Source organism: Homo sapiens, chromosome 18 (genome assembly GCF_000001405.40).
Source record: "Homo sapiens chromosome 18, GRCh38.p14 Primary Assembly".
In the NCBI taxonomy this organism is placed as follows: domain Eukaryota; kingdom Metazoa; phylum Chordata; class Mammalia; order Primates; family Hominidae; genus Homo; species Homo sapiens.
Window position 1 is genome coordinate 63,532,352 of NC_000018.10, and position 26,634 is coordinate 63,558,985.

Consider the following 26,634-nt stretch of genomic DNA (forward strand, 5'->3'; position numbering starts at 1 on the left):
CGTAGGTTATAGTAAGTTTTCACTTATCACTAGTTTATCACACCAGCTAGTTGACATCTTCCACTTCTGTGGGAGTGAGGCAGAGGTCAGTTTCTGGTTGGGGCCTGAATGTTGGGGGTTTGGGGTACAGCAAGAGAATGCTGATTAAGGAAGTGGGTATTATGTGATGTAGCCCTGGACTGTATGTCTATAGGAGCAGTGGGGATTTTGGAGGAGGAGATGAAAGTTTTGGACAGATTTTACCTACTCTACGGTTTTGTCTTACTTGCTCTGACTCATCTTCAAGAGCAGGTTGTTTGAGATTAAAGAGGTTGTCTCTATGGTAGATGCAAATGATTCTTGAAGTTCAGTAGGAGTTTGCTGAGGGGTTGCTAACCTCTCAGGGTGTGTCCACAGATCAGGTGGTACTAATTCTGGCTTCTGAGTGATGTTTGATGAATCTAGTTGAAAAGTAAGGAAAACAACAACAGCAGCAGAAGCAAACCCCATCGCCATTCTTGTTTTTAGACCAGAATATGTTTGTAGTGGGTTCCTATACCTTTCTGAGCCTGAAAAACTTGACCTAACAGGTAATAGAAGCTTTTTATTATGTAAATCTTTGGTACCTAGTAAGTACTCCTTTCATGTTTCTTCTTCTTTTTTTTCGAGACAGAATCTTGCTCTGTTGTCCAGGCTGGAGTGCAGTGGCGCAATCTCAGCTCACAGCAACTCCACCTCCCGGGTTCTAGGGATTCTCCTGCCTCATCCTCCTGAATAGCTGGGATTACAGGCGCCCACCACCATGCCTGGCTAATTCTTGTATTTTTAGTAGAGACGGGGTTTCACCATGTTGGCCAGGCTGGTCTGGAACCCCTAACCTCGTGATCCGCCCACCTTGGCCTCCCAAAATATTGGGATTACAGGCATGAGCCACCACGCCCGGCCTCGTATTTCTTAATGAATGAATCGAACTTAAGTTCTGGTGGTTGGGAATGTGTAAGAAGGTTGAATCCTGACTATGATATTCAATCAGATCTTTCAACCTTGACAATTTGATATGATTACCAGTTAGTCCACTGTCCTCCCATACAATTCTCATGTGAACAAATATGGCACCCAATTACACTTAATGCCGAGTCTGAAATTATAGAAGAGCAGAGCTGAGAGCAGTCTTAGAGTTTCATTTATCCAACCCTTTAATTTTGCAGATAATGGAACAGAGGCATAGTTTTAATCCTTTTGAAAACATGTTAATCCAGATTCCCTCCTGACTGTAATGAATAGGTGCTGATATCTTTCACTGCTGACCCAGAGCCAGGATTTTAGAGATTAGTTTGCACAACACTATCTATAATAGAATATTTGTAACTCTGGTGTTTTCCCACCTCCCTTTATGTGTACCCTCCCACCTCTTGAACTTTCATCGCCAAAGGAATACATCTACAAGCTTAGAATTACAGAAATCCACATGTGCATGTGGGAAATAAACATATTTGGAGAAGGGGAGATTTTTTTCCATCCCTCATATTTTCCTAGATGTAAACTTTTTGAAATTTTGGGGCTGAGAAATAGGCATAAAGAGAATTACTGACTAAATGGGAATAGGTTGAATTCTTCAAGAATGTATATCATCTCCAGAGAACAAATCTGTTTTGTGAGGTAGTTTTGGGATGCACAAACACTGCTCTGGGTAGAGTTTGAAATCACAATGACACATCCTACTGCTTCCAGTCTTACTTGTCCTAGACTTGATTCTGGCTTGTTTTATGGCATGATTTTAAAAATTAATCCCTGTCACTCAACTCACAGGCCTTGTTGAAAAATTCCTCACCAATATTTTTAAATTAATGTGGCTTCACTGACAGTCTTAGAATCTAAAAATAAAGAACACACTCATCAAAAGCAATTGTAAGGCTAGTAGCAATTGATAGTCTGTTTTATAAGGAGACAACACATTAAAAAACAAAACAAAACAAAACAAAACAAAAAAACACCTAACAATTATCTGTGGGTACTTGTGGGGAGTTACTAAAGTTAAAGGGCCCTGAATTTGTCAGCTATGTCCTTGCTGCCTTATTGTATTATTTATCACACAAAAGGACCAGATTTTCTGAATCTGAATTACTTAGTACTCATACAATTGTTTTATGAACTTTTCATGAACCGGCATGATATTGGCCAGCACAGAAAAGCTAGACTCTGCTGATACAGATTGTAGACTTGATTTCTGAGGCTTTAATCTAGTGGAACGTGGAAATAACCTGAAATTCACAAACTTTTTTTTCTTTTTTCCTGGTAGAAAGAATAGATGTTTAGGAGAAACCGGATCAAGCAGACTCCCTGGTAATTTGTACTCATTTCCATTCTAATATAGTTTCTCTGTAGCCGTCAGTACTTGTTTTATGAGTTGCTTTTCCAGTAGTGGTGACACTTTGCAATAACACATTTGTCTTTGTGGCTTCTGGTATAATGATTGGGTGGAGGAGGAAGCTGTTTTCCTGTGATCGAACCTATTTGGAAATTGAAACTGCAGAACATGGTCTCATTCACAACACATTATGACCAACAAAAGAGTGCAGACCACAGGCACGTATGCATGTGGAACACCCTTAGATTTACCATGAGCAGAGTAAATGTCTCAAAGGAAGAATATTTTTCTTAAAATATTTTAGATGAGAGATGGAAAGCAAAATATAGACAAACTATGCTCAGTCAGAATATTGCTAATGGTTTATGGATTTTTCAGAACAGTTTTCCAGGTTACCAACTAATAAATATAGAGAGAATACTGGTTAGAAAATAACTTTTAAAACATTATGGTAGTCATTGATTCAAGCAAAAATCATTAGTGGATGCTAACATTTGAAAATGTTTGATGAGGGCAAGCATAGCTACAGTCTCAAAATATCTTCCTCCTTCGTATTTATCCAATAAAAGGGGCAGTAATAACTTTACAATGGAGAAATCTACAAGACATCACCCAACCAAATGATCAAAAGTAGAATGATCAAAGGTAGAATGGGAAAAAGGAACATGATATGCCTCCCGAGGTGATGCCCCGAGATAGCTCAGGCATTGTGCTTGCCAAAAATGCGTAACTCGAATCTAATCATGAGGAAACTTAAAAATAATACCCCAAACTAAGGGACATTTTATAAAATAACTGGCCCTTACCCGTCAAAATGTTAATTCCATGAAAGTCAAAGAAAGGCACAGAAACTTCCCTAGATTAGAAGACAAAAAAGATATGACAACTAAATGCAATGTACAATCCTGGGTTGGATCCTGGACTGAGAAAACTGGACATAAAAGACATTTTTGGGATAACTGGTGACATTGGAATATGAACTATGAACTGTGGATTATGTTACATTTCCAGATTTCAGTACTTGTGCTATGGTTGGGTAAGAGCATGCCGTTTTCCTTAGGAAATGAATGACAAAATATTTAGAGCTAATAGACAGGATGTATGCAACTTATTCATCAGTAGTTCTGAATACATATATAAATATACACACACACATATATACACACATACACATGCATATATATATGTATTCATGACTATTGATGAATAAGTTACATAGATGTGTGTGTATATATATGTATTCAGAACTATTGAGGAATAAGTTGCTATATATGTGTGTATATATATTTTCTCTCTATGTAAAATATTTATATGTATTCAGAACATATAAATATTGTATATATAGAGAGAATTGTAAAACAAATGAGACAAAATGTTAATAATTGGTAAATCTGGATAAATGGTATATATAGTTCTTTTAAGTATTCCCACAACATTCTATACATTTGAAATTAATTACAAGCAAAAATAAAAAAGAAACAGTTCTTTCAAAAAATTCATAAAGAAAAAGACAGACTTGATTTAATAAAAATTAAAATCATACGTTTTGAAAGAAATAACCATATTTAAATGTCAAATGACAAAAATGGAAGAACATTTACAATAGGTACAGTTAATATTTATAACAACAAAAGAGGATGTACGAATCAATAAGAAAATATAAATTACTCAATTTTAAAAATTATTAATGGATAGAAAGACACAGAAAAAGAAATAACCTACAATTGCCAATGAATATGATTAGATGCTTAACTTATAACTAATAAAAAATGCAAAATAAAACAAGGTGATTCCACTTTTTGCCATTTTTGGCAAATTTATAGGAATTGATATTAGAAGAAATTGTCTTTCTTATAGAGAGAAGATGACTTCCTTTTTTCTATTCTCATGAAAGAAGCACAGATTGACTAAAAATTCTTCTCTTTCCATTCCCCATCCATTTCACCCAATGAGGATTGGTTAGATTGGACAGAACGATGATCTCCATTGGTCTAAAATAACTAATCTCTTTGTTGAGAGCATTTGTGTGCTAGGTACTACATGGTGTATTTTATATACATAAATTATTTCATTCACCTATCACAATAATTTGTTTTACAAATAATAATAGTATTATTTTATAAATGTTTTAACTTTATCACATATATAAACTAATTAGATGGTAAGAGAAGCAATGCCAATCAAAGGAGGAGTTGGTAATTCATATAGTGCTGGGAATATTGGCTGGGTATTTAGGGGAAACAATTTATTTAAATCCCTACCTCACATCGTAGACCAAAATAAATTCTTGGTAGACTAAAAATAAAAAGTTAAAAATAAAACCTAGAAGAAACTGAAGATGAATGATTATATACTCTTTGGAAGTGGAACAACTATGTAAATATAAAATAATTAAATATGTTATCAAGAGAAGATTAAATTTATCACATGAAAACCTATGTTTATCAGAATCAACTAGTACATATCTACATCATGGACTGATTGCCAGCAATGGTTTGTTTGGAGACAGCTAGGGCCCTGTAAAGAAGTGGCCTGCAGAGATTGCAGGTTGGCACCAGGTGCACTCTGTGTCTCTCCTAATAAGCTACATGTTCCTCCAGGGAAGCTACTGTGTTCTTCTGACCTGTGTGTTTCTAGTTTCTTGCACTGCACCTAGTACACCTTGTGCATTGGGTTTTCTCTTTTGGTAAATTGAGTAAAGGAAAGAATGTATTCAGGTGTGGCCAGAGGAGAATGGTAGAAAAGCACAAAGGCATGTTCCTAGACTGATGACATACCAGGGGTAATGATAGAGTTGGAACAGTTTTATGCTTGAAAGATATTTGATTTAATTCTACACCCATATTTCTACATTTGTTACGAGTGTGGATAAATTATATGAATATTCTTTCATGCCCAATAAATTGTTATTGGAAGCTTGGGAGATGAAAACAAATCAGTAGAACTCTGACTTTCTAGGGAGGCAACTACAACAATCAAGCCCGAGTTTTAACACTACCTGAATGAAATCTTACCATATGGAATCCCTCTTGTTCATGGTTTGAAAAAACTCATAAAGGTTGTCACATTTATTAATTTACACTTAATGACTAATCTTCAGAAACCATTTAATTAATATTATTCAAAAATAACATTAAGTCTTTGCACTTGGAGATGAGGTTTAGAGCCTGAGGGAGCACATTTGGATCAGTTGAGAGTAGGTGGAACAGGTATGAGACTGTGGTGGGATGAAGGCTATGGATGAGGCTTTTCTAATATATAGGAGAAATTCCACCAGATGCAAATTTCGGATCTGTCTTATTCACTTCTAGATGCATCTACCATAGTATTTAATAGGTGCTCAATGATTATTTGTTGAATGACAACTGAGTGTAAAAATAACATGGAAATAAGATATGAAAGTATGGAAGAACTTTAGGCACCAGGACTTCTGCTGGAAGCCTTGATCTGTTGAAAGCAACATGTCTAGCACTTTTCCTAGAAAACTACTTTATTAAAATATAATTCACATGCAATAAAATTCACCCTTTTAAAGTGTGTAACTCAGTGATTTTAAATAAATTTACAGAGTTGTACAGCCATAACCACAATAAATTTTAGAACATTTTCATCATCCCTAAACAAAACTCTCTATATTAGCAGTCCTCATTACCCTTCCCTCTAATCCTGGCAACCACAATAATCTACTTTCTCTCTTTATGGATTTGCCTATTCTGGATATTCATGTAAATGAGATTGTAAAATATGTGGTCTTTTGTGACTTGCTTCTTTCACTTAGCATAATGTTTTCAAGGTTCATGTATGTTGTAGCATGTATTAATACTTCATATTTTTAAAGGCCAAATAATATTCCATTGTGTGAATATACTACATTTTGTTTATCCATTTGACAGTTGATGGATATTTGAGTTGTTTTTTCTTTTTGGCTATTATGATTAATATTGCTATGAACATTTGTGTACAAGCTTTTGTGTGGACATAGGTTTTCATTTATCTTAGGTTTATACCTATGAGTGGAATTGCTGGATCATATAGTAACTCAATGTTTAGCATTTTCAGGAACTGCCAGACTGTTTTCCAAAGTGGCTGCATCATTTTACATTTCCACCAGCTATATATGATGGTTCCAATTTTTCCACATCTTCACCAAGACTTGTTATTGTCTGTTTTTAAATTATAACCATCCCAGTGTGTATAAAGCGGTATCTCACTGTAGTTTTATTTTGCATTTCCCTAACAACTAATAATATTGGTCATTTAAAAATGGTGGCTGGGAGTGGTGGCTCATGCCTGTAGTGAATTCTCCTTGAAAATTTCCCCTTTGTTTCTGGCCAATATTTAAATGATTGGGATCCACTTGGGATGGCTGAGACCACCAACCTTTCTCTCTATGAGAAGAGAATGAAGGTTCCTCCCTGACCAGGGTTATTTCCTCTCTCCAACACTGTTTTCCCTTTATGACCATGACTCTTCTTGAGGTCTCCAGTAGCTATCACTGGCAACCATAGCCAAGGCCCTCCCAAAGGCTCAGTCAGAATGGATAGGGGGTGTGAAAAAAGAAAGCATGGCCTCTATATTCCTGTCCAACTTTTCAGTAATTCTAAAAGTGTGCTAAAGAAAATAAAGTCTATTCCACTTCCCCATGTCCCCTGAAAAAACAGAAGCAAAATGCACAAAATTTCCATACTTTTTCAGCAAAGCTGAATGAGCACCAGGAGGTGCTGCATGTCCCAGTGATTTAATCCCTATTTCTCCAGAAGTAGGAAGAGAAGGTTCTAGATATATGATATAGGGATATGGGAGGATTGTTTCTTGGGTCTCGGTCAAGGAATTAATGTCTGTTCTCTCAATTTATCAATCTATTACCTCCACTCATCAGGTGCCCCCCACCCCACCCCGCCTGCTTTCAAAACAAAACAAAACAAAAGCAACAGCAAAATCTTGTCATTTTTTGTGGGCACGTACACCAATGTCTGGCATGGTGGGGTTTGTCTAAAATGAGTTATATTCCCCAAGCACACTGGGAGGTATGATATGGGGCCATTACCCTCCCAGAAACCCTCCTGATAGAAGGGAGAACCAGCTGGGCATTATTTCCATGTATGTTGTTTCTTTTAGATTCCATTTTGTGCACAACTTTTACAAAATAAATTAAGTTTTTGAGGGTGGTCTTCTTTCTAAGTTTTTCAATGGTGTGTCCTATAGAAGTCATTGCTGGGTGCCACTGGAGACACTTAGTACGTGGACATAGAGAATTGCAATTGGGTGCTAGAGTCACAGGGAAAATAACACAAGAAAGGTAGGCTCCAACTTGTCTTTGGTTTTCCCCTAAGAATACTGAGAAAATTAGGTGGTTACACCCTGTTTCCACTCCATGGTGAGAGACTAGCTTGAAGGATGCTTAAAACTTGGCTCAAAAGAATTGTAGAATGTCTAAATAGTCACTTGTCTGATTGTGCAAATGAGTGATTTATGTTAGAGGAGTTGTACAAAATGCTGATCTTTTTCTTTCCTCTCCTGAAGAGAGTGGAGGTTGGTTACTAGGTTTTAGGAGAGGAAAATGGGATGAAAAACAAAATAGTGCAAAGGCAGTACATTCCATGCATTGCTGATGGGATCTCCCTGGAGTACAATTCAACACGATGCATTCCAGCTTAAAAATGTTCATGCATTTTTATCCTGTAATTCGACACCTAGATATTCTATGCTAAGGAAATCATCTGAGATTCAGATAAACTCTTAAAATCCCACTGCTGATGGGATCTCCCTGAAGAACAATTTGATACAATGCATTCCAGCTTAAAAATGCTCATGCATTTTCTCCAGTAATTCAGGACCTAGATATTCTATGGCAAGGAAGTAATCTGAGATTCAGACAAACTGTTAAATCCCACTGCTGGTGGGATTTCTCTGGAGTAAAATTCAACATGATGCATTCAAACTTAAAAATGTTAATGCATTTTTATCCAGTAATTTAACACCTTGATATTCTATGCTCAGGAGATCATCTGATATTCAGATAAATGTGTTAAAACCAGATATTTTTAATAAAACTTTGTATATAAATTAGAAATCACTTAAATGTTTAATTAATAGGAGAATGGATGTCATTAACATAGTCACTCAAATAATTCTTATGATTGGAATTTTAAAATATGAAGAAGAAATATCTAGGTTTAAGTATTAAATGTTAAAAGGACACAAAATTACAAATTAGTATGAGCTCAGCTATGTATAAAGTGTGTGTAGAGAAAAGGAAATTGTGGATTTTGATGGGCTTACAAATTATCTTTACTTTTCTTTACGTTTTCAGTATTTTTAATATTGAAACATTTTCTCAAATGACATGTACTATTTAAAATTCATTTGCACTCAACTACCCCAAATTTTCTACCATCTCCCTAATTCAAAACTTTTATTGCTTTGACAATTATATTCTCAATTATACGATTATTCTGTGGGTTAAAGCTGGTTCATGGGAACCCAATTTCATGCTTGCAAGTTGCATGCCACTCGTTCCCTCAGATCCTCTTATTACCTGGTTTATAGGTTAGGCATTCACAACTTTAACACCCACAGCACCATAGGGCTTTCTCATATAGTGGGGTAGGGTCTTCATTTTTAATATAATTGCAGACAGTGTGTGCTCCCCAAGTTATGATCCTCACTCAATCATGATGCAGGATGGGTTTTTGTAGATTTTGAGTGTACTGTCCTAAAGTTACACTTAGAGACAGGACCCTCAAGAGGAGGAGGCTTTTTGTGGAAATCCAAGGGCATGGCTTTGCTTTAAGACTGCAAATTGAACTAAATGCCCTCAAAATATCTCAGAAAACCTCCAAGCATGCATTATTTTTCTTAACCAAATATGAACCACGTTTTGAAAAAGAGCTGATGTTGTTCTATGATGATAGGTAATATCTAGTGAGTTTTGCAGGTGAATGAAGTCTTCTGAGGTATTTGTACTGAGAGAAGTAGAGGGAGAAAGAGACAAGGAAATGGGATGGGGTGGGACAGAGGCAAATGGGGATGGAGGAGATGAGGAAGACAGAGGTGAAGAGAAGGAACAGAGACAGAAGGGAAGAGGGGAGAGACACCTTTTGTTTATTTGCTAGGTACAGTCTGAGATGCCAGAAGAAAAAATAACTGGTGAGGATGCTCAGGAAATTATCCTAGACAGCTGTGGAGTTGCAGTCATGATAGAGTAGCTAATAACAGTTGATAATACCTGAAAAGTCTAGCTTCACACTTGACTGAGAACCTCACAGTTTTGTCACTACTCAATTTATTTGATGGTGTGCATTGGGATAGGCGATGAAAAATATTCCGCTTGGGTTTTGTGTATTCTGTTATAAATTATGAACTCATGTGTTACACAGTGGCTGGAGGGCTCTGTAAGTTGTTTAGGGAGAATAAGGGACAGAGATATGACACTTCCTCTTTACTAAGGCTCTAACCCCTAACCTGTGTTTTTCCCACTGTTCCCCTCTAAAGGAGAGGCCCTCATGGTGGAACGGTTTGTTCTAAAGGAGTGATAATGTAGAGATAATCACTTTAACTTAAAATTCATTGAATTGATGGCCATAAATGCATGTCTTATTTTCCCCTTCATATGTTAATTGTCCTGATTCACAAACCTGTATTTAAAGTGACAGAATAGCTTGCTCAATGCCTCTCCTTATAAGTTTTCACAGGCTGTAGGACTTGCCTGGTTCCTCCTCTGCTAGATTGATTTTTGAATTGACTTTATCAGAGCACAGACCTTAGCTGGGGACAGCCCTCACTGGCTTCCAGGTATGTGCTGGGAGGTGGACAAGCTATTGTTGGTAGAGATGCCTCTGGGGGCTAGTTGTCCTGGTAGTGAAGCTATATGTGTTGCAGGTCTTCATTCTTGGGATCAGAGAGTCAGGGAGGTGCTAACGTTATTTTGCTACTTTCTTTTTTAAAAACTTTTATTTTAGGTCAGGGTGTATGTGTGCAGGTTTGTTATATAGGTAAATTGCATGCCAGTGGGGTTTGGTGTACAGATTATTTTGTCACCCAGGTAATAAGCACAGTACCCAAGAGGTAGTTTTTCGATTCTTACCCTTCTCCCATCCTTCACCCTCAAGTAGGTCCCAGTATCTGTTATTCCTTTTTTATGTCCATATGTTCTCAATGTTTAGCTCCCACTTATAAGTTAGAACATGTGGTATTTGTTTTTCTGTTCCTGTGTTAGTTCCCTTAGGATAATAGCCTCCAGCTCCATCCATGTTGCTGCAAAGGACATGATCTTGTTCTTTTTAATGGCTGCACAGTATTCCATGCTGTGTATGTACCACATTTTCTTTATTTAGATCATGCTGCTACTTTCTAGCATTATGATTATGAGCAACTTAAGGCCTTCTCCAAGTCCTTGTTTTCTTATTTGTCATATTGGGATAGTAATGTCTCTCTTCCTGACTTATTAGGAATGAATGAGATAATGGGTATGTAAGGGCCTGTTACATATCAGGTCCTTGAAAAATGTTTATTGTATCTAAATGCAGGTCATCTAGTTGGACTGTAAGCTCCTATTGCATGAGGCATCATAAGTGCAGGGACAATGGCAGTCCCCTTTACTAAAGGCTCTAACCCTAACCTGTGCCTTTCCCACTGATCCCTTTGAAAGGAGAGACCCTCGTAGTGGAATGCTTCATTCTGAAGGAGTGATAATGTAGAGATAATCACTTTAATTTAAAGTTCATTGAGTTGATGTATATGCAGTGCCTGACACATTATAGGCACTTGATACATAATTGTTCAACAAATGAATGTCTAGGCTGTTATTTTACTGTAATACTGAAGGGCATTAGGGTTTTGCTTGGGGTTAAGATCTAATCAAAACATACATTTTATTTATTTATTTTTATTTTTATTTATTTTTTTTTTTATTGAGACAGAGTCTCACTCTGTTGCCCAGGCTGGAGTGCAGTGGCGTGATCTTGGCTTACAGCAACACCTCTGTCTCCCCAGTTCAAGTGATTCTCCTGCCTCAGCCTCCTGAGGCAGGGATTATAGCCTCCTGTAGCTGGGCTTACAGGCGTGCGCCACGACACCAGGCTAATTTTTGTATTTTTAGTAGAGATGAGGTTTTGCCATGTTGGCCAGGCTGGTCTTGAACTCCTGACCTCAAGTGATCTGCTGGTGTCAGCCTCCTAATGTGCTGGGTTTACAGGTGTGAGCCACTGCGCCCGGGCAAAATGTACATTTTAGATTTAAGAAAATATGTTTCTTGTTAGCATATTACAATATTTATTGTATGTAAATAGAGGTTATATATCTAGGATATAAAAACTTCAAAGGTTTTAAAAACCATGGTATTTCATCATTTAAAGCAGGGATCAGCAAACTTTTCAGTAAGGGGACAGATAGTAAATATTTGCAGCTTTGCAGGCCATGTGATTTCTTCTCCACTACCACTGTTCAACTCTGTCATTGTAGAGCAAAAGCAGCCATAGACAGTAATAAATGAATGGATGTGTTTCGTTCCAATAAAACTTTATTTACAAAAACAGGCAGAGGGCTGGATTTGGCCTGCAGGCTGTAGTTTGTAAGCCATGATTTGAAGGATGAAGTCCTCATTTACAGTTTTGGAAGAAATAGATAATGTTATAAAGATTTGGCTAAGAAAATAAAGCTTTGTGCAATACTAATTCTATGTAATTATATTAAAAACGTGAATAGTTGTAAACACATAAGAGCTTGGAAAACCATATTATTATTCTTATTTTTTTAAGGGCGAGAAAATTGAAGTTTTCATGATGTAGTTGCCTGAGGTCTCAGGCTAGTAAGATTCAGCCCAGGGCCTGCTTCTTCTGATTGCAAGTTTACTGCTTTTTCTATGTGTTCTTTGCTGTCTCATAGCTTTGCCTGTCTTTGATCTCTATGTCTCTGTCATATTGGGGTGGACAGCTGACATTTTTTCAATCCTGGAGATGTCAGTTTTGAAGCTGAAAGAACTAAGGGCTTTGGATATCTTAAGAGTGATTGCAAGTTTTGAAATGAGTTTGTGTTTTAGTCTTTATTGTTGTTTTAATAGATTTTTTCCTCTTTTTATGTGTTATAAGACTCTTAAATTTGGAGGATACAAGATAAACATCAGGAAAACTGTCTGCTTTAGATAAAAGATGCATTTTTTCATTAGGTTGAAAGTGTCTATGCTGATATTTTTCCTATAAACATGTTTTCTTTTCTCAATATTGGGTTTTAAAATTAAATGACAAAGAGCCCCTTTGTAATATTTCAAAAATACTGCCTTTATCAGTAGGGGAATATTAATCATATCATTTTGCATCATAAACTGGCAAAGACTTTGATTGCTGAATCATTCTGGCCTCCTTAAATTTTTAATTCTAGGCAGAAAAAGGCTAATTGCTGAAAGATTTATTGATTGGCTCATAATTCTTGCTGAGTTGTAACATACCTAGGAGGAATCATCTAGCTCTATACTTGATGAAGTAAACATTATTTTTACGGCCTGTTGACATAGAACTATTTTTTTTTTTTTTTAGCTTGCCTTGAATAGCACTGTCAGGCTAGTTGACCTCCAAATTTCTTTCAAACCCTAGTGTAATTCTCTGGCACTTGAAGTCACGGGTACTAGAGAGGCTCGCTTTCTTCAGCCATTCAGTGATATATTACATGTGTAAAGTACCAAATGCAGCTTGACATTTAGTAAGTGCTCAAGAAATTCTCATCCCCTTGTTAGTGATTTATCAAGCTACCTTAATGTTTAGCTACATTTAGTGTCAGATTTCATCTTCGCTCATTGAGCAATCGCACCACACCAAATTTTTAGGCTTGTAGGGCACAGTCATCTGTAGTTAGATCTTTGTTGAATTATTTAAGAGGATAAACAGATGCAAATCTAGATTAAAGACATTCAAACAAGTTTATACTCTTCTCAGGTACCCAGAAGCCCAGTGAAATTTGAATATTATCCCCCAACAGTAACAGATGTGACACCTACTTCCAGGAAGCCAGGCAAGAACTCATCCTGTTCTGAATATGAATGGTATACCCTTTTGGAAAGGCTATGATGGGCAACATGAAGTAGTAATCAATGACATAAAATATTAAATAATTCACGTGTTAAAATTTTCCAAACTCTTGCAAATCATAACCAATGACTAGACTGGTTTTTAGAATTTTGTGGAAGAATTTAGAAAAAAAAATAATTATTTTCAAATGATCAAGGAGTAAAGAAAACTAACAGCACGTTTCTTTTCTATGCTTACTATTGATAATTCAGAAAAACTCTGGATGCTTAGTCATTAATTTCCACTGGTCAATATCTTATAAAACTTGTTTTATTTATACACTAGCTACATAAGTAGTTTATATTTTCCATAAAGGCCATCTCTCCATTTTAGAAAGTTTTCCTTTGAATTTCTCTACACCTAATGTATTTGTAGGGTCATGGTTCAGATAATATTGTTGTCTGACAACAAGTTAGAAAAGGAAGATAAAGGGCTCAGTAGGAGAACCAGGTCAGAGAGGGGTCCTCGTTTGTCCTTAAGACATGTCAGTTCCTGGAGTTTGACTCTTCCTAGCTTTCTCCTAGTTGCTCCACACTTTTTGCCCTATCCACTGACCCTCATGTTTACAGTCAGTAACATAACACGATTGTAGAGTGCTAGAACCAAAAGTAACATCAGAACATGCTTTGGCTAAGTTTAAAAAGTTTTGTGTTTTCAGTTGTAAAATATGTGTGTCAATAATCAAATAATAATTCTCATCCCTACCACACACCTACTGCAGGAAAGCAAAAACTTTGAAGTAGCTTAGAGCACATTTTGCAAATCCTATGTAATAACTTAGAAAGATTTTAGAATAATGCAAAAATTCAAATATAAGAAATCATCTAAGACAATGTGTATATGAAGTAAAATACATTTCTGCTTCATGGTCTTCTAGTATAGAAATTTGAATTGAAAAGTGTGAGCCAAGTATTGCTTTGAGGGCTCTATAAAATTGGAAAGAGCAAAGAAAATATAAGCATATTAAGTTAAATATTCAATGTAGTTAAAAGCATAGCATTTGTTTTAAAAATATATGCCACTCTTTTCTTTTCCCTTTAATCTATCAATGATGATTTTACTCTGGATTCCAAAATGGCACTGGAAAAGTTCCACAGAGGGAGGGGCAAAGTTGATATATTTCCATTCCCGACAGGGTGTGGAGGGAAGCTTACCTGACCAGCTGTTAGCAGCAACTCTGAGGGCAAGAAGGTAAATGCTCGAATTGCCTGATATAATTTTTAACAATGAACACTGAATTGGAAAACCATTTTAAAGGATAGAAACCCAGAGGAGATGTGATTGAAATAGAAGGATATACTTGTTTTTATTAAGTCAAATACTTAAAAAAAGTGAGTTAGTTTTATGATGTTTTGGATTTTCTGCAGATGTGGCAGTCATCACTGGGAGATATTAACAATGCTTGTCACCTCGCTCAGCCCCAACCACCTGGTCAGATGCCTGATGTATATGATTGATTTTTTTAAAATGTAGATGTTTGAATAACTTTTTAAACTTTCACATACTTGACATATTGTATTTTATCTTTTAATGAATTATTTCTGAAACATAAGATGGTATAATATTTAGAATATCTATATTTTAAACAATGTGAGTTAGATTTTTTTTTTTTGCACCATAAGTTGGAAAACACTTTCGATGGTATTGTTCACAAGTATTTCTTTGTTTTTAGATATTGGTTATTATTTAGTTTGCTGTAACCTGGTTTGAATATTTGTTCCAGCAGAATAGCATCTATTTGTGTAAAGTTTGAATTTCATTCTTGAGTTGTTAGTAGCTTTGTGGGAATTATAGAAATTATAAGACATGAAATATTTTTGGAGTATAAATATTTTTCTTCCTACTATATATAGGAAAAAACAGTTTTACTCAGAATATTTTGGGTTGTTAGAATGTCTATCTTGTCTAAACCTTTACATTTTTACTATAAGGGAAAATTGTAATAAATGAACTTTTTCTTATACAGTAAATGAATTTTTTTTATATTGCAGTAAGTGAACTTTTTCTTATATAGTAAAAAATTAATAAAAAGCTGATTCTCTTATGCAGAATCTCTGTTAATTACAGCTTCCTGCAGGATATATAAAGTTAATATGAAATGCTAAATAGTCTTCTAACATTTCAAACATTAGGATTATCTACAATGAAAAATGGGCAGATGACAGCAAATCAATCCATAAATATTATGAAGGGTTCTCATGTGCTACCATTGTGTTCTTCACGGATGGGTACAAGGATGAATTAAAAACACTGAACCTACCTTCAAGACAATTATGATTTGGAAGTAAAGACATCAGTATAAAAAATAATTACCTTACAGTGTGATAGAGGAGTTAAGGGAAACAAATGTTGTATGGTTATTGTATACAGTGGTGACTAATTAACTCTTTAGAGGGAGAGGTTGGAGGAAAGTGGAAGAAGGTTTTACGTGTGTAACAAAGCCAGAAGGAAAGAAAACAAGCAAAATAGATCATTTGTTGATACCTCAAACACCATAAAAATGGAAAAAAATACCTTTAAAAAATTAAAAATGTTACACATTTCAGATAGTCAGTATTTAAAAATGTATCTTCAAAGCTAACAATGTAAGTTAAAATCTTACAGGAAAGATTTTCTTTCTTGTAAAAAATTGAAAGTAGATGAGGTTTTAAAATTAAGTTGAAAATACATTACCCTCAAGGTTTTGAAGTGATAGAAGAGAGTGCCAGAAAATATTGACAATTTTCAGTAAATAAGAGTAAAAACAATTCTATAATAACAATAAAGAAAATAAAGGAAGGTAAAACAGGGGAAATTTTTTTAAAGAACAAGTTTGAAAAACATAAAATGTTTATATAATATGAAGAGTTCATAATGATCCATAAATAAATGATCAAGACCTCAATAGATAATTGAAAGATGAACAAGAGACAGTTAATATGTGAGAATTTATAAAGAGAAAAGAACACATGGAGAAACATTCAAATGTTAGCAAGTATCAATGCCATGTAAATTTAAAAATAATACAATTTTCTTTTTATTTTTTAAGTTATTAAGAATGGCAATAATATCTGAAAAAGGTGATTATGATATAGCAGTTTCATCTGTAACTTTTGGCTGACAGTATGAAAGTTAAAAATCTTTATAATATTTGACCTAGAAATCCCATGTTGAAGAAGATACTCTGAAGAAATAATATGAAGGGAGATAAAAGCTATATTTATGACAATGTTTATCGTAGAATTATTCATATTAATAAAAACTGGGAAGCTAATTTAAGTATCTAGCAATATGATGTTAGTTTAAACATTTAGATAAGTCAGTATAATGAGATATTATAAGGCCATTAAAAGAACATCTATGAAGACAGTATTAGGATAAACACTTAAGATGCAATTTGAAGTGAAAACAAGTGAACATAAAATGTTCATATAAACAGGCACGTACACACACATCAATGCAGTGATTGAGAGATTGGAAAGCACACGGAAAAATAAAGGCGATTTATTTTTCAGTATTGTGAGGGCAAAATTCCTCATTACTATTATTCTGCCATCTGTATAACAAATTAGACCTTGAGAATAAAATTCCTTCTTCTACTTCATTAGAAGTTAAATCGTGAATCCCTTACTTGGAAAATATTATAGGCAAAAATATGATAGTATTTGTATTGATATAAAATGAATTTTTTTCTTTTTCTTCTGACTAAGAACTGCTTATCTTCTCTTTCCTATATAGCTATGGTCAGTAGGAGGTGACATTGTGGATAGTACATGGGAGCTATCATGTAAGTCACTCCCAATTAGGCTACGATTGTTTGCAATCTATTTAGGATACATTTGCACAGATTTCAATGCAATTTGAGAAGGATTTTTTGAGTAATTTTTCAGTCTAGAGAAGCAACCCCCATAAAGATTGTAGGAATCTTTGGAGGACAAACTGGAGCTTGAGATGTGCCTTCCAGAGAGGGAGTTCACGGCCGTCCTGAGATGGACTCTCAGTGCTAGGAGGTCCTTTCTACAACCAGTGGTCTTGGTAAGAGACACAAACAAGACATGGACCTGCTGGTGACATCTGCATCCCACAGAGCCACATGGTGGTCACTCAGGACATGGCTTTTGTGAGCACAAGTGTTATCTGCTCCAGAGGGTGGCCTGGTATAGGAGGAAAGAGGTAGCTTTGAAATCACACTGAAAGAACTGATTTGCACACCACTTGTGCCACGTAGTGGTTGGAAGTACAATGAAAATTATTTCTAACTTACAGGATTTTTTGAAAAATAGAGACAATATTTGTGAAATGCCAGACATATCACAAGCTCAAACTGAACAGTAGCTATTAGTAGTATAACATCATTGTGGATAGAGTTAGCACCAATTACTTAAGCTGAATGAATTTTGGGAGACCTTACTATTTTAAAAGATTATTTCAAGTCTGTTTGAAAATAATGATGACTGAAGTAAATTGCATACAAGTTTTTCAAGTTGTAGCTCACTAAGAGGCAGCCTGTGTGAGCAATTGCCTTTAGACTCAATCAAACAATAACTTCTTTGTGTGGTGGATATTTTCCAGAGTAAACACCAAATACGGCCTGTGAATGCTTGGGGAGCATTCCCTAAATGCATCTGGGGCCAAAATTTCATTTTGAAAAATTTCTCTTCAATTTTCCATATACAGTACTCTTAGCTATTGTGTTAGGCACTAACTTGCAATGTCTTAAAATTAAATGCCATGTTTAGTAATACATCTACAATACATTTTAAAATTAAACTTTATACATATATACCTGCATGAACACCCACACACACATTAATACATAAGTGCATAAGAAATAAGTGTAAGCTTAATGTGTAACCAACACTCCAACCAAAAAAGGAACCAGTACCAGCTTCCTAGAAGGCTCCTTCATGCCTAGTTTACATGGTGTCCTGAGGCCGGCTCATACCAGCTCACAAGAGCTGATTTTGTGCATTTTTCCCAACTCTGGGTACAATGGTGTCTTGCTGGCAGTTTGAAATTAACCTTAATGGGGGTATTTACACCATAGAAATCAGCAAACATTGTGAATCATGGATTTTTGTTGACTTTTGTGTTTTGGGAGACAGTCTGCTACTGTCCCTACCTGTGGCTAACCACAGTTCTCCCCACTCATTCCTAAGGATAGCCACTCTGTTGACCTCTAAAACTGCAGATTAGTTTTGCCAGTTTTGGAACTTTATGTAAGTGGAATCATACAGTATGAAAGTTTTCGGCCGGGCGCGGTGGTTCACGCCTGTAATCCCAGCACTTTGGGAGGCCGAGGTGGGCAGATCACGAGGTCAGGAGATCGAGACTATCCTGCCTAACACGGTGAAACCCTGTCTCTACTAAAAATACAAAAAATTAGCCGGTTGTAGTGGTGGGCGCCTGTAGTCCCAGCTACTCGGGAGGCTGAGACAGGAGAATGGCATGAACCTGGGAGGCGGAGCTTGCAGTGAGCCAAGATCACGCCACTGCACTCCAACCTGGGCGACAGAGCGAGACTCCATCTCAAACAAACAAACAAAGAAACAAAAAAAACAAAAAAAAGAAAGTTTTCAGGTATGATTTCTTTTTTTTCTTTTTTGAGATGGAATTTCGCTCCTGTTGCCCAGGCTGGAGTGCAATGGCACGATTTCAGCTCACTGCAACCTCTGCCTCCCAGGTTCAAGCGATTCTCCTGCCTCAGCCCCTCAAGTAGCTGGGATTACAGGTGCATGCCACCATGCCTGGCTAATTTTGTATTTTTAGTAGAAACGGGGTTTCACCATGTTGGCTGGGCTGCATGTATGATTTCTTTTACTCAACATTATCTTATGATGTGATGTGAGATCCATGCTATGTGTTTATTCTGCTGATGATGGACATTTGCGTTGTTCCTGAGTTTTGGCTATTATGAAAGTGTTGCTATGAACATATTTGTACATATTTTAAAAAAATTCTTAAGGTGATTTTGCTACATACCTTTGAGAAATCTCTCTTACAATTACATTTTGGTATTGTAATATTTAGATCTCTGCCTTTCTATTTCTTGCTAAAGTGGTCCTATTTTGAATCCAATTGATTTGGAATTTGTGATTTAGTCATTACTGTTTTCAAATTAGTGTCCATGTAAAAGGCATTATTGAAATGCCAGGGATTTGGTCTATGTCCTATTGCTCACCGCACAGAGAGGCAATCACTGAGACAAGTGTTGCCAGGGAAGAAGGCTTTAATCAGATGACGTCAGCCAAAGGGATGGGGATAAATCTCAAATCATTCTCCCTCAACTTACTAAAATGGGAGGTTTATATAGTGGGGAAGAAATGTAGCTACATATGGGAAAATAAGGATTAGGGAGGGGAAAGAAAATAATCAAGACGAGTGTGGGTTCTGCTATCTCTTTGTGTGCATGCCATGATGTGAATTTCAGTTGCTTGATACTCTCTGGGAGGCCTGCGAATGGGTTTCCTGAAGAAGTAATTCAGATACGACAAATGTAAGTTTCAAGCTTTAAGACCAGGAGGGTCAATTTCTATGTTTATTCAAAAAGACCATAAACTCATTTCTATGGAAAATTAGGCTGGTTTCAAAGGGATTTTTGATGAGAACAAGACAATTAATCTTAAATTTCTTTCTCTTTTCTTTTTAATTGCAACAACATAACATAACATGATTTTTACTAACAGTCTAAGCTTATTTTTAATAAATAAAAGCAATGTTAAAAAGCTTTAAAGTATTTTTAAAGTGTTATATTTTAAAATTGCCTATTTGAATCTGTGTTATTAGCATAATCAAATCTTAATGAGTGCTTCCTACAAAATACTCTTTTCCCTTTTCTATTTCATTTTGTAAATTAATATCTTACTCTTCTATGCGTCTTAAACTCTACTCCTGAATCTGCGAATGCATTATCTGCTCTGTTAGGTCATAGATTTCTCAAAGGCAGAGATTGTGTCTTGTTCAGTTCATCTTTTATATATAGTGACTAACCCAGTGGGAGAACTTCATAATTAGGTTGGTGTCAGATTTAGGCAGTTTCTAATTTAAAAAAACTGACTCACCCCCACCCCCCAAAATAACCAAGCAACCCTTCAGAAGGTGGTTAGCAGATGACATTTTAATCTAGTCATTAAATGTTCATTATTTGCTATGTTTTAGACTTGTATGTAAAGCCAGGAAAGATCTTCCTATTGTAAGGGCTTACATATAGTCATAAAACTTTAACAGCAACTGTCCAGCTGTTTTTTTTTCGTTGTTTTCTGTTACTATTGTTCTCTCAACTCCCTTGGGAGGTGAGGCAGCATTAAAGCTGCACACAACTGTAATGAAAGCTTAGAACCAGGTAACACTCAGAAAAGGGAATTGTTACTGGGGTGAGAGCATCACAGTACTCCTGGAAAGTAGTTCACAAAGTTTATAGAAGCTTGATGCAGAAACAGGCAGAGAGAGTTTTGGAGTGTTCTGTAGCCCACAGAGTGAGTAAGTGTAGTGCCAGAATTAGAATGGAATGGAATGTGAAAAACTGTGTGATCTAGGAGGAAGCAGCCCTAGGCATGAGGAAGTCTTAGCCTTGCTTTGCTTCTGGACAGCTGCATGATTGTTGCAAGTCACTTCGCCTCATTTGGCCTCAGTTTTTTTTATCTTGAGAAGTAGGGAGTTGGCCTGCATGAGTAGTCATGTCCTTTCTAAAGCAGGCAAGACTCTGATCATTCAGTTCTGGGAGTGCTCATGCTAGAAGGCAGAAGGGGTGAAGCCAAGTGATTAACTGGAACATTTGAAGAGCCAGGTTGGGATCATTCAGTCTTTCTAACCAACCCCTTCTTTTCCTTCAATATAGTCAGGCTCTTGTCTTCTTTTAATAGTGATGGCCAAATTGCCAGGATTCCCTTTACCTTCTCCTCCTTCGAGCTGAAGATTTTGATCAAACATTAACCTAAGTTATACAACAAAGGTTTTAAAAAATATTAGACTACATTTCACACAAAATTTTATCATTAATCGAAAGCCTGTGAAATCCCCCCAACTCAGACCATCTTTAATTTGTTGGTTTTCTTTTCTTTGTTAGTAGACTTGTTACTAGATGGGTAATGTGAGCTATGTGTAGAGAAAATCTGTTGGACATCAAGATGTTTACCAACATATGCAAAGGTAGCTTTCTGAGTTGTGAGGCATTATTGAATTTCCAGATACATCCAGGACATCCATTACTCAAAAAACACCCACCAATTAAGGCATAATGCTCCTGAAAACACTCTGGTGATCTATGATTACCCTGAAATTAGTTTGAAAATACAAAGTACGTCTCAAACCCAGTTCCCAGATGCAAGATAAGAACTGTGAGTTAGGTACAAACTTGGCAGAAAGAAAATGTAGCAATAAAATGGACTATAAGCTGAATAAGGGGGGAGAGTACCCACATACAGCAGGCATGTGTTTGATCACCTATCATCAGTTGAGGGGCAACTTAGAAACGATAGATACAGTAGAAAGATTACTTAGTTTGGGGCCAAATATATGTGCTATTTGATTATGCAGTTTTCTTTTCTGAAAAAGAAGGAATGATCATATCTACCTTGCAGAGTTGTAGGATTAAAGCTAACACATGTAAGATATTTGGCACATGTTAGACACATTTTTTAAAAAGTTACATAATGTTATCTTTTTGAATTAGGTTTTATAGGCTAAGAAAATCTATATTAACTGGGAAAGTGTTAAAACAAATTACACCATTCCATTCAATGCAGCAATATTTCTTCATGCTTATGGTGTGCTGTATCTGATGATAAAAGCACAAATAAGAGGATTTACATTTCTATCTTGGAAATACACAATATCTATAGGCAAAGAGACAAAAGAAAAGGCATTTCATTTGAAAGGCATAGGTCAGTGGTGAGATCTACATATTCTCTTGATACTCTGGAATAGATTGGGTGGGGAAGGCAAGATACCTGTTCTTAGGAAGTCACTATCTCACTCTGGTTCTATATTATCTGTAGTTCTACACTGTCAAAGAGGACATTGAACCTGGTGATATGGTTTGGCTCTGTGTCCCTACTCAAATCTCATCACACATTGTGATCCCCATAATCTCCACGTGTTGAGGGAGAGACCTGGTGGGAGGTGATTGGATCATGGAGGAAGTTTCCCCCATGCTGTTCTTGTGATAGTGAGTGAATTCTCATGAGATCTGATGGTTTTATAAGTGTTTGGCAGTTCCTCCTTTTCTCTCTCTCTCTCCTGCCGCCTAATGAAGAAGGTACTTGTTTCTCCTTCTCCTTCCGCCATGATTGTAAGTTTCCTGAGGCTTCCCCAGCCATGCGGAACTGTGAGTCAATTAAAACTCTTTCCTTTATAAATGACACAGTCTCTGGTATTCTTTGTAGCAGTGTGAAAATGGACTAGTACACCTGGTGACATCAAGACCCCCAGCATCATTCAAGATTTATTGTCTCTTGAACAATATGAATGACTGACTAAAGTGCCTCAAATTCTGTAGTTTGCATGTGGGATGAGTCAAAAGGGGGTGAGAATGTTAACAAGGCACATGACCCATGGGAATTTGCTGGGCATATCCTCAGTCACAGAGCAATGAGGGGAGAGTACAGGCAAAAGGTGTAAGCAGAACCAGCCACAATCTGTGGAGAAGAATGAGATGGGATGATGTTTGCTTGGCTGCTAACTTGATAATAAGAATGTTAGCCTTTGGCTTCATTTTACGTGAATACAGGGAGTTCCACCACAAAGTGGGTAGGATTATGTCCCCTAAAAATATAGTTTAAGTCCTAATCCTTCTACCTGTGAATATGACCTTGTTTGGAAATAGGGTCTTTGCAGATGTGGTCAAATTAAGATGAGGTTGTACTGGCTTAGGATGGGCTCTAATTCAGTGACTGCTGTCTTTAAAAGAAGAGGGAAATTTGGATACATACATGGACAATAAAGAGAAGGATGTGAAGATGGAGGCAGAGACTTGAGTGATTTGTCTACAAGTCAAGGAATGTCAAAGTTTGCTGGCAACCACCACAAGCTGAGAGAGAGGCATGAAACAGATTTTCCTTGAGAGTCTTGAAATGAACCAAATCTGCTGATATCTTGATTTTGGACGTTTGTCCCCCAGAACCATGGGAGAATAAACTCCTGCTATTTAAACCACTCAGTCTGTGGTAATTTCTTATGGCAGCCCCAGGAAACGAATTCACACTACTAAATGAAAATAGATCTCTGTCTATCAATATCAACACCAATATTTATATACAGGGATGATAATGACCTTAGTTTTCCAGTTCTTAATAGCATACTGAATAATTGTGCATGATTGTATTTCAGGTATGTAAAATAAAATTGTTTGTTCACTTATTTTCTTCCAATCACCATTTTCTCTTTCTCCTTTTTTTTTGGTTTTAGATCGTTATAAGTTTTACAATGGACTCTCTTGTTACAGCAAACACCAAATTTTGCTTTGATCTTTTTCAAGAGATAGGCAAAGATGATCGTCATAAAAACATATTTTTCTCTCCCCTGAGCCTCTCAGCTGCCCTTGGTATGGTACGCTTGGGTGCTAGAAGTGACAGTGCACATCAGATTGATGAGGTACGTGTCCACTAGGGTGCTACACAGGGTCCTAAACTCTGGGTCCACACTCAAAGTCAGACCCTAATCCCACTTAGGCAAGCCAAGGGGCTTATTGCACCCTGGGCTTGGTCAGAACCCATCCCTGTCTCTGAGTCTTTATTTGTATTTTCTCCATCTTACTTCCTCTTCGATCCTACCATTCTTAAAGTCTCACTTAAACTTGTACCTTCTTTAGGGTGCTCCTCAACTTCATGTCTGGCAGCTTTTCTCATTCATCTCTATCTTTATCTCTGTATGCATGTCTGTCACTCTTTTACTCTATGATTGCTAATACCAATATTGCTAGCGATTTTTAGTATGTGTATATGTCTTCTGTCTCACTCATTTCATTAAATAAATATTCATTAAGTACCATATATGGTTCCAGTGGCTAGAGAGCTTGGTGTCCTCCTGGACTCTTTCTCTCTCACTTTATACCACATTTGTTAGAAAATTCTGTTGGCTTTTCTTTTGAAAGATATCCATAATCCAGGCACTTCTCCCAGTCTCCTTGAGGTCTGAACCACAACCATCTTTTCTCACCTGGATACTGCAGCAACTTCCTGATGGGCTTTCCTGCTCTCACTGGCAATCTATCCTTTGCACAGCAGTCCAAGAGACCCTTTTAAAACCTGAGCCAGATTCTATTTCTCATCTGTTCAAAAACCTGGATTTCTTATTTCACTCATGATAGCAGTTCAAGTCCTTACAATGGCCCACAAGGATCTGGAGATCTGAATCCCAGATAAGCCCTGTGACTCCATCTCTCACTTTCATCCCTCCTCACTGTACCTGTCACATTGGCCTCCTGGCTTCCTTGGGTAAGTCATGCCCATCCTATCTTGGGGCCTTTGCTCTCGGTCCCTTTGCCTGATGGCTCTTTCCCCTGGTAACTGACCTCAGCTCACTTTCTTCTTCAAGACTTTGATCAGTGTTTATCTCCTATACGGGGCCTACTTTGACCTCCTAATCTAGTGCTGCATCCTGACCTCCAGACCATAAGGGATACTTTTGTAGGCACCTAATAAACATTTCTAGAATAAATAAATGAAGGTAATAAGAACAAATCCCCAAATAAACTACAAGTTCCCATGGTTGGCCTTATACTTCCTTGGATGTAGCACATAGTGCGGGGGTTATGCACAACTCAGGCTGTTTCCCCTGAATATGGAGCAGTAGAATTTATGGATTAAGACAGAATGTGTTTCTGGGGTCATTCTGCTTTATTCATCTACTAAGATTTGGTGTATTATTTTCTTATTCCATTAGCAAAACTTAGCTTTAGAGTGTGGTTTGCATCTTGCAGGGCAGAATTCAGATGTTCTTTCTTAGGCAGTTGAGGGCACCTGCTGACCAAATGGGTCTGAGTAGTGCAGGATATGACGCCTGTCTCCTACCTTTCTACCAGGCTCTGGATAACTTGTCTTTTGCTGTCCTCACTCCCTTGATTCATGTGAAACTCTAGATCAGCACTGTCTGACACAAACATAATGAGAACCACATAGTAATTTAAAATTTTTTAGTAACTGTATTGCAAAAGTAAAAAGAAACAGGTGGGACTAATTTTAATAATAATTTTTTAACCTAGTATATGCAAAATATCATATCCACATATCATCAATATAAGAATTTTAATGAGCTATTTTATTTATTTATTTTTTTATACTATATTCAAGATCTGGTGTGTATTTTGCACTTACAGTCAATTCAGATTGGGTATCTATGAAATGCTCCATAGTTACATTTAGCTTGTGGATACCTCTATGTTCTTTTAGTTTGGTTATATTTATTCATAAATGCTCTCCCAGGGTAGCGGTTGGTTCTTCTCCTCGATTCCACCTCCCAACCCAAGTACAGAAGCACCCACTTTCCTTTAAACTGTTGTTGATTGTTTTGTTTGACTATGTAATCATTGCCATTGTCTCATTATGAAATGTTTCTGAAGTTATTCAGGCTTCCCTCTGTTCATATTATCTGAAAGACCCCATCCCGTTATCATGCAGGTACTACACTTCAACGAATTTTCCCAGAATGAAAGCAAAGAACCTGACCCTTGTCTGAAAAGCAACAAACAAAAAGTGCTGGCTGACAGCTCTCTGGAGGGGCAGAAAAAAACGACAGAGCCTCTGGATCAGCAGGTGAACCGCCACCGTAGAAAACTCTTGCCTTTCTTTTTTACAAACTGCTTATTCTGGCTGTAGGATATTTGGTGATAGTTGCTTATCCCCAAATATTAGACTCTGGATACCATCAACAGCAATAACCTCATGTGATCTGTGATTCCTGAGTATGGATCTCAGATGTCCTTGGCTATCAGCTAGTTTCCTAAAGAGTAGGATCTGGTGTCTTCTGCTTATGATAAAGAAGCCTAGATCATCACTCTGTCCCTCATCTGCTTCTATAGGCCACAGGGCCCCAACACAGAGTATGGTCAAAGATAAAGGTGGTAAGGGGTAGGGTCAGCTGTGGAATTCTTACTGTCTCCCTCTATCTCTGCTTGTTCCATTTCGTGCTGAAATCTGCACTGACAGACAAAACTTTTATTGGTTGCCTCATGCCAGGAGGAGGAAAGATATTATCCAGGGTATGCATCCCCCTACTTTAGAAAGTTTAAGAGGAGGGTGGATAGATGATTGT

At 36.8% G+C, this 26,634-nt stretch overlaps 1 protein-coding gene across 6 annotated transcripts in view; it reads left to right on the forward strand.

Moving 5' to 3' along the window:
- The window catches only part of SERPINB12 (serpin family B member 12), a 50,220-nt gene that overhangs the window by 13,242 nt on the left and 10,344 nt on the right, over nucleotides 1-26,634 (forward strand). The window contains exons 1-4 of one of the 6 annotated variants that reach the window (XM_011526246.2): nucleotides 10,018-10,141; nucleotides 13,276-13,382; nucleotides 23,791-23,976; nucleotides 26,001-26,135. In XM_011526246.2, the coding sequence (XP_011524548.1) occupies nucleotides 13,380-13,382; nucleotides 23,791-23,976; nucleotides 26,001-26,135 (324 nt within the window). In that variant the 5' untranslated portion in view covers nucleotides 10,018-10,141; nucleotides 13,276-13,379. Of the gene's footprint in view, nucleotides 1-10,017; nucleotides 10,142-13,275; nucleotides 13,383-14,549; nucleotides 14,599-17,152; nucleotides 17,174-23,790; nucleotides 23,977-26,000; nucleotides 26,136-26,634 lie in introns of those variants that run through there. The other 5 variants (NM_001307928.2, XM_011526248.2, XM_011526249.1 and 2 more) reach the window with 5 other exon arrangements.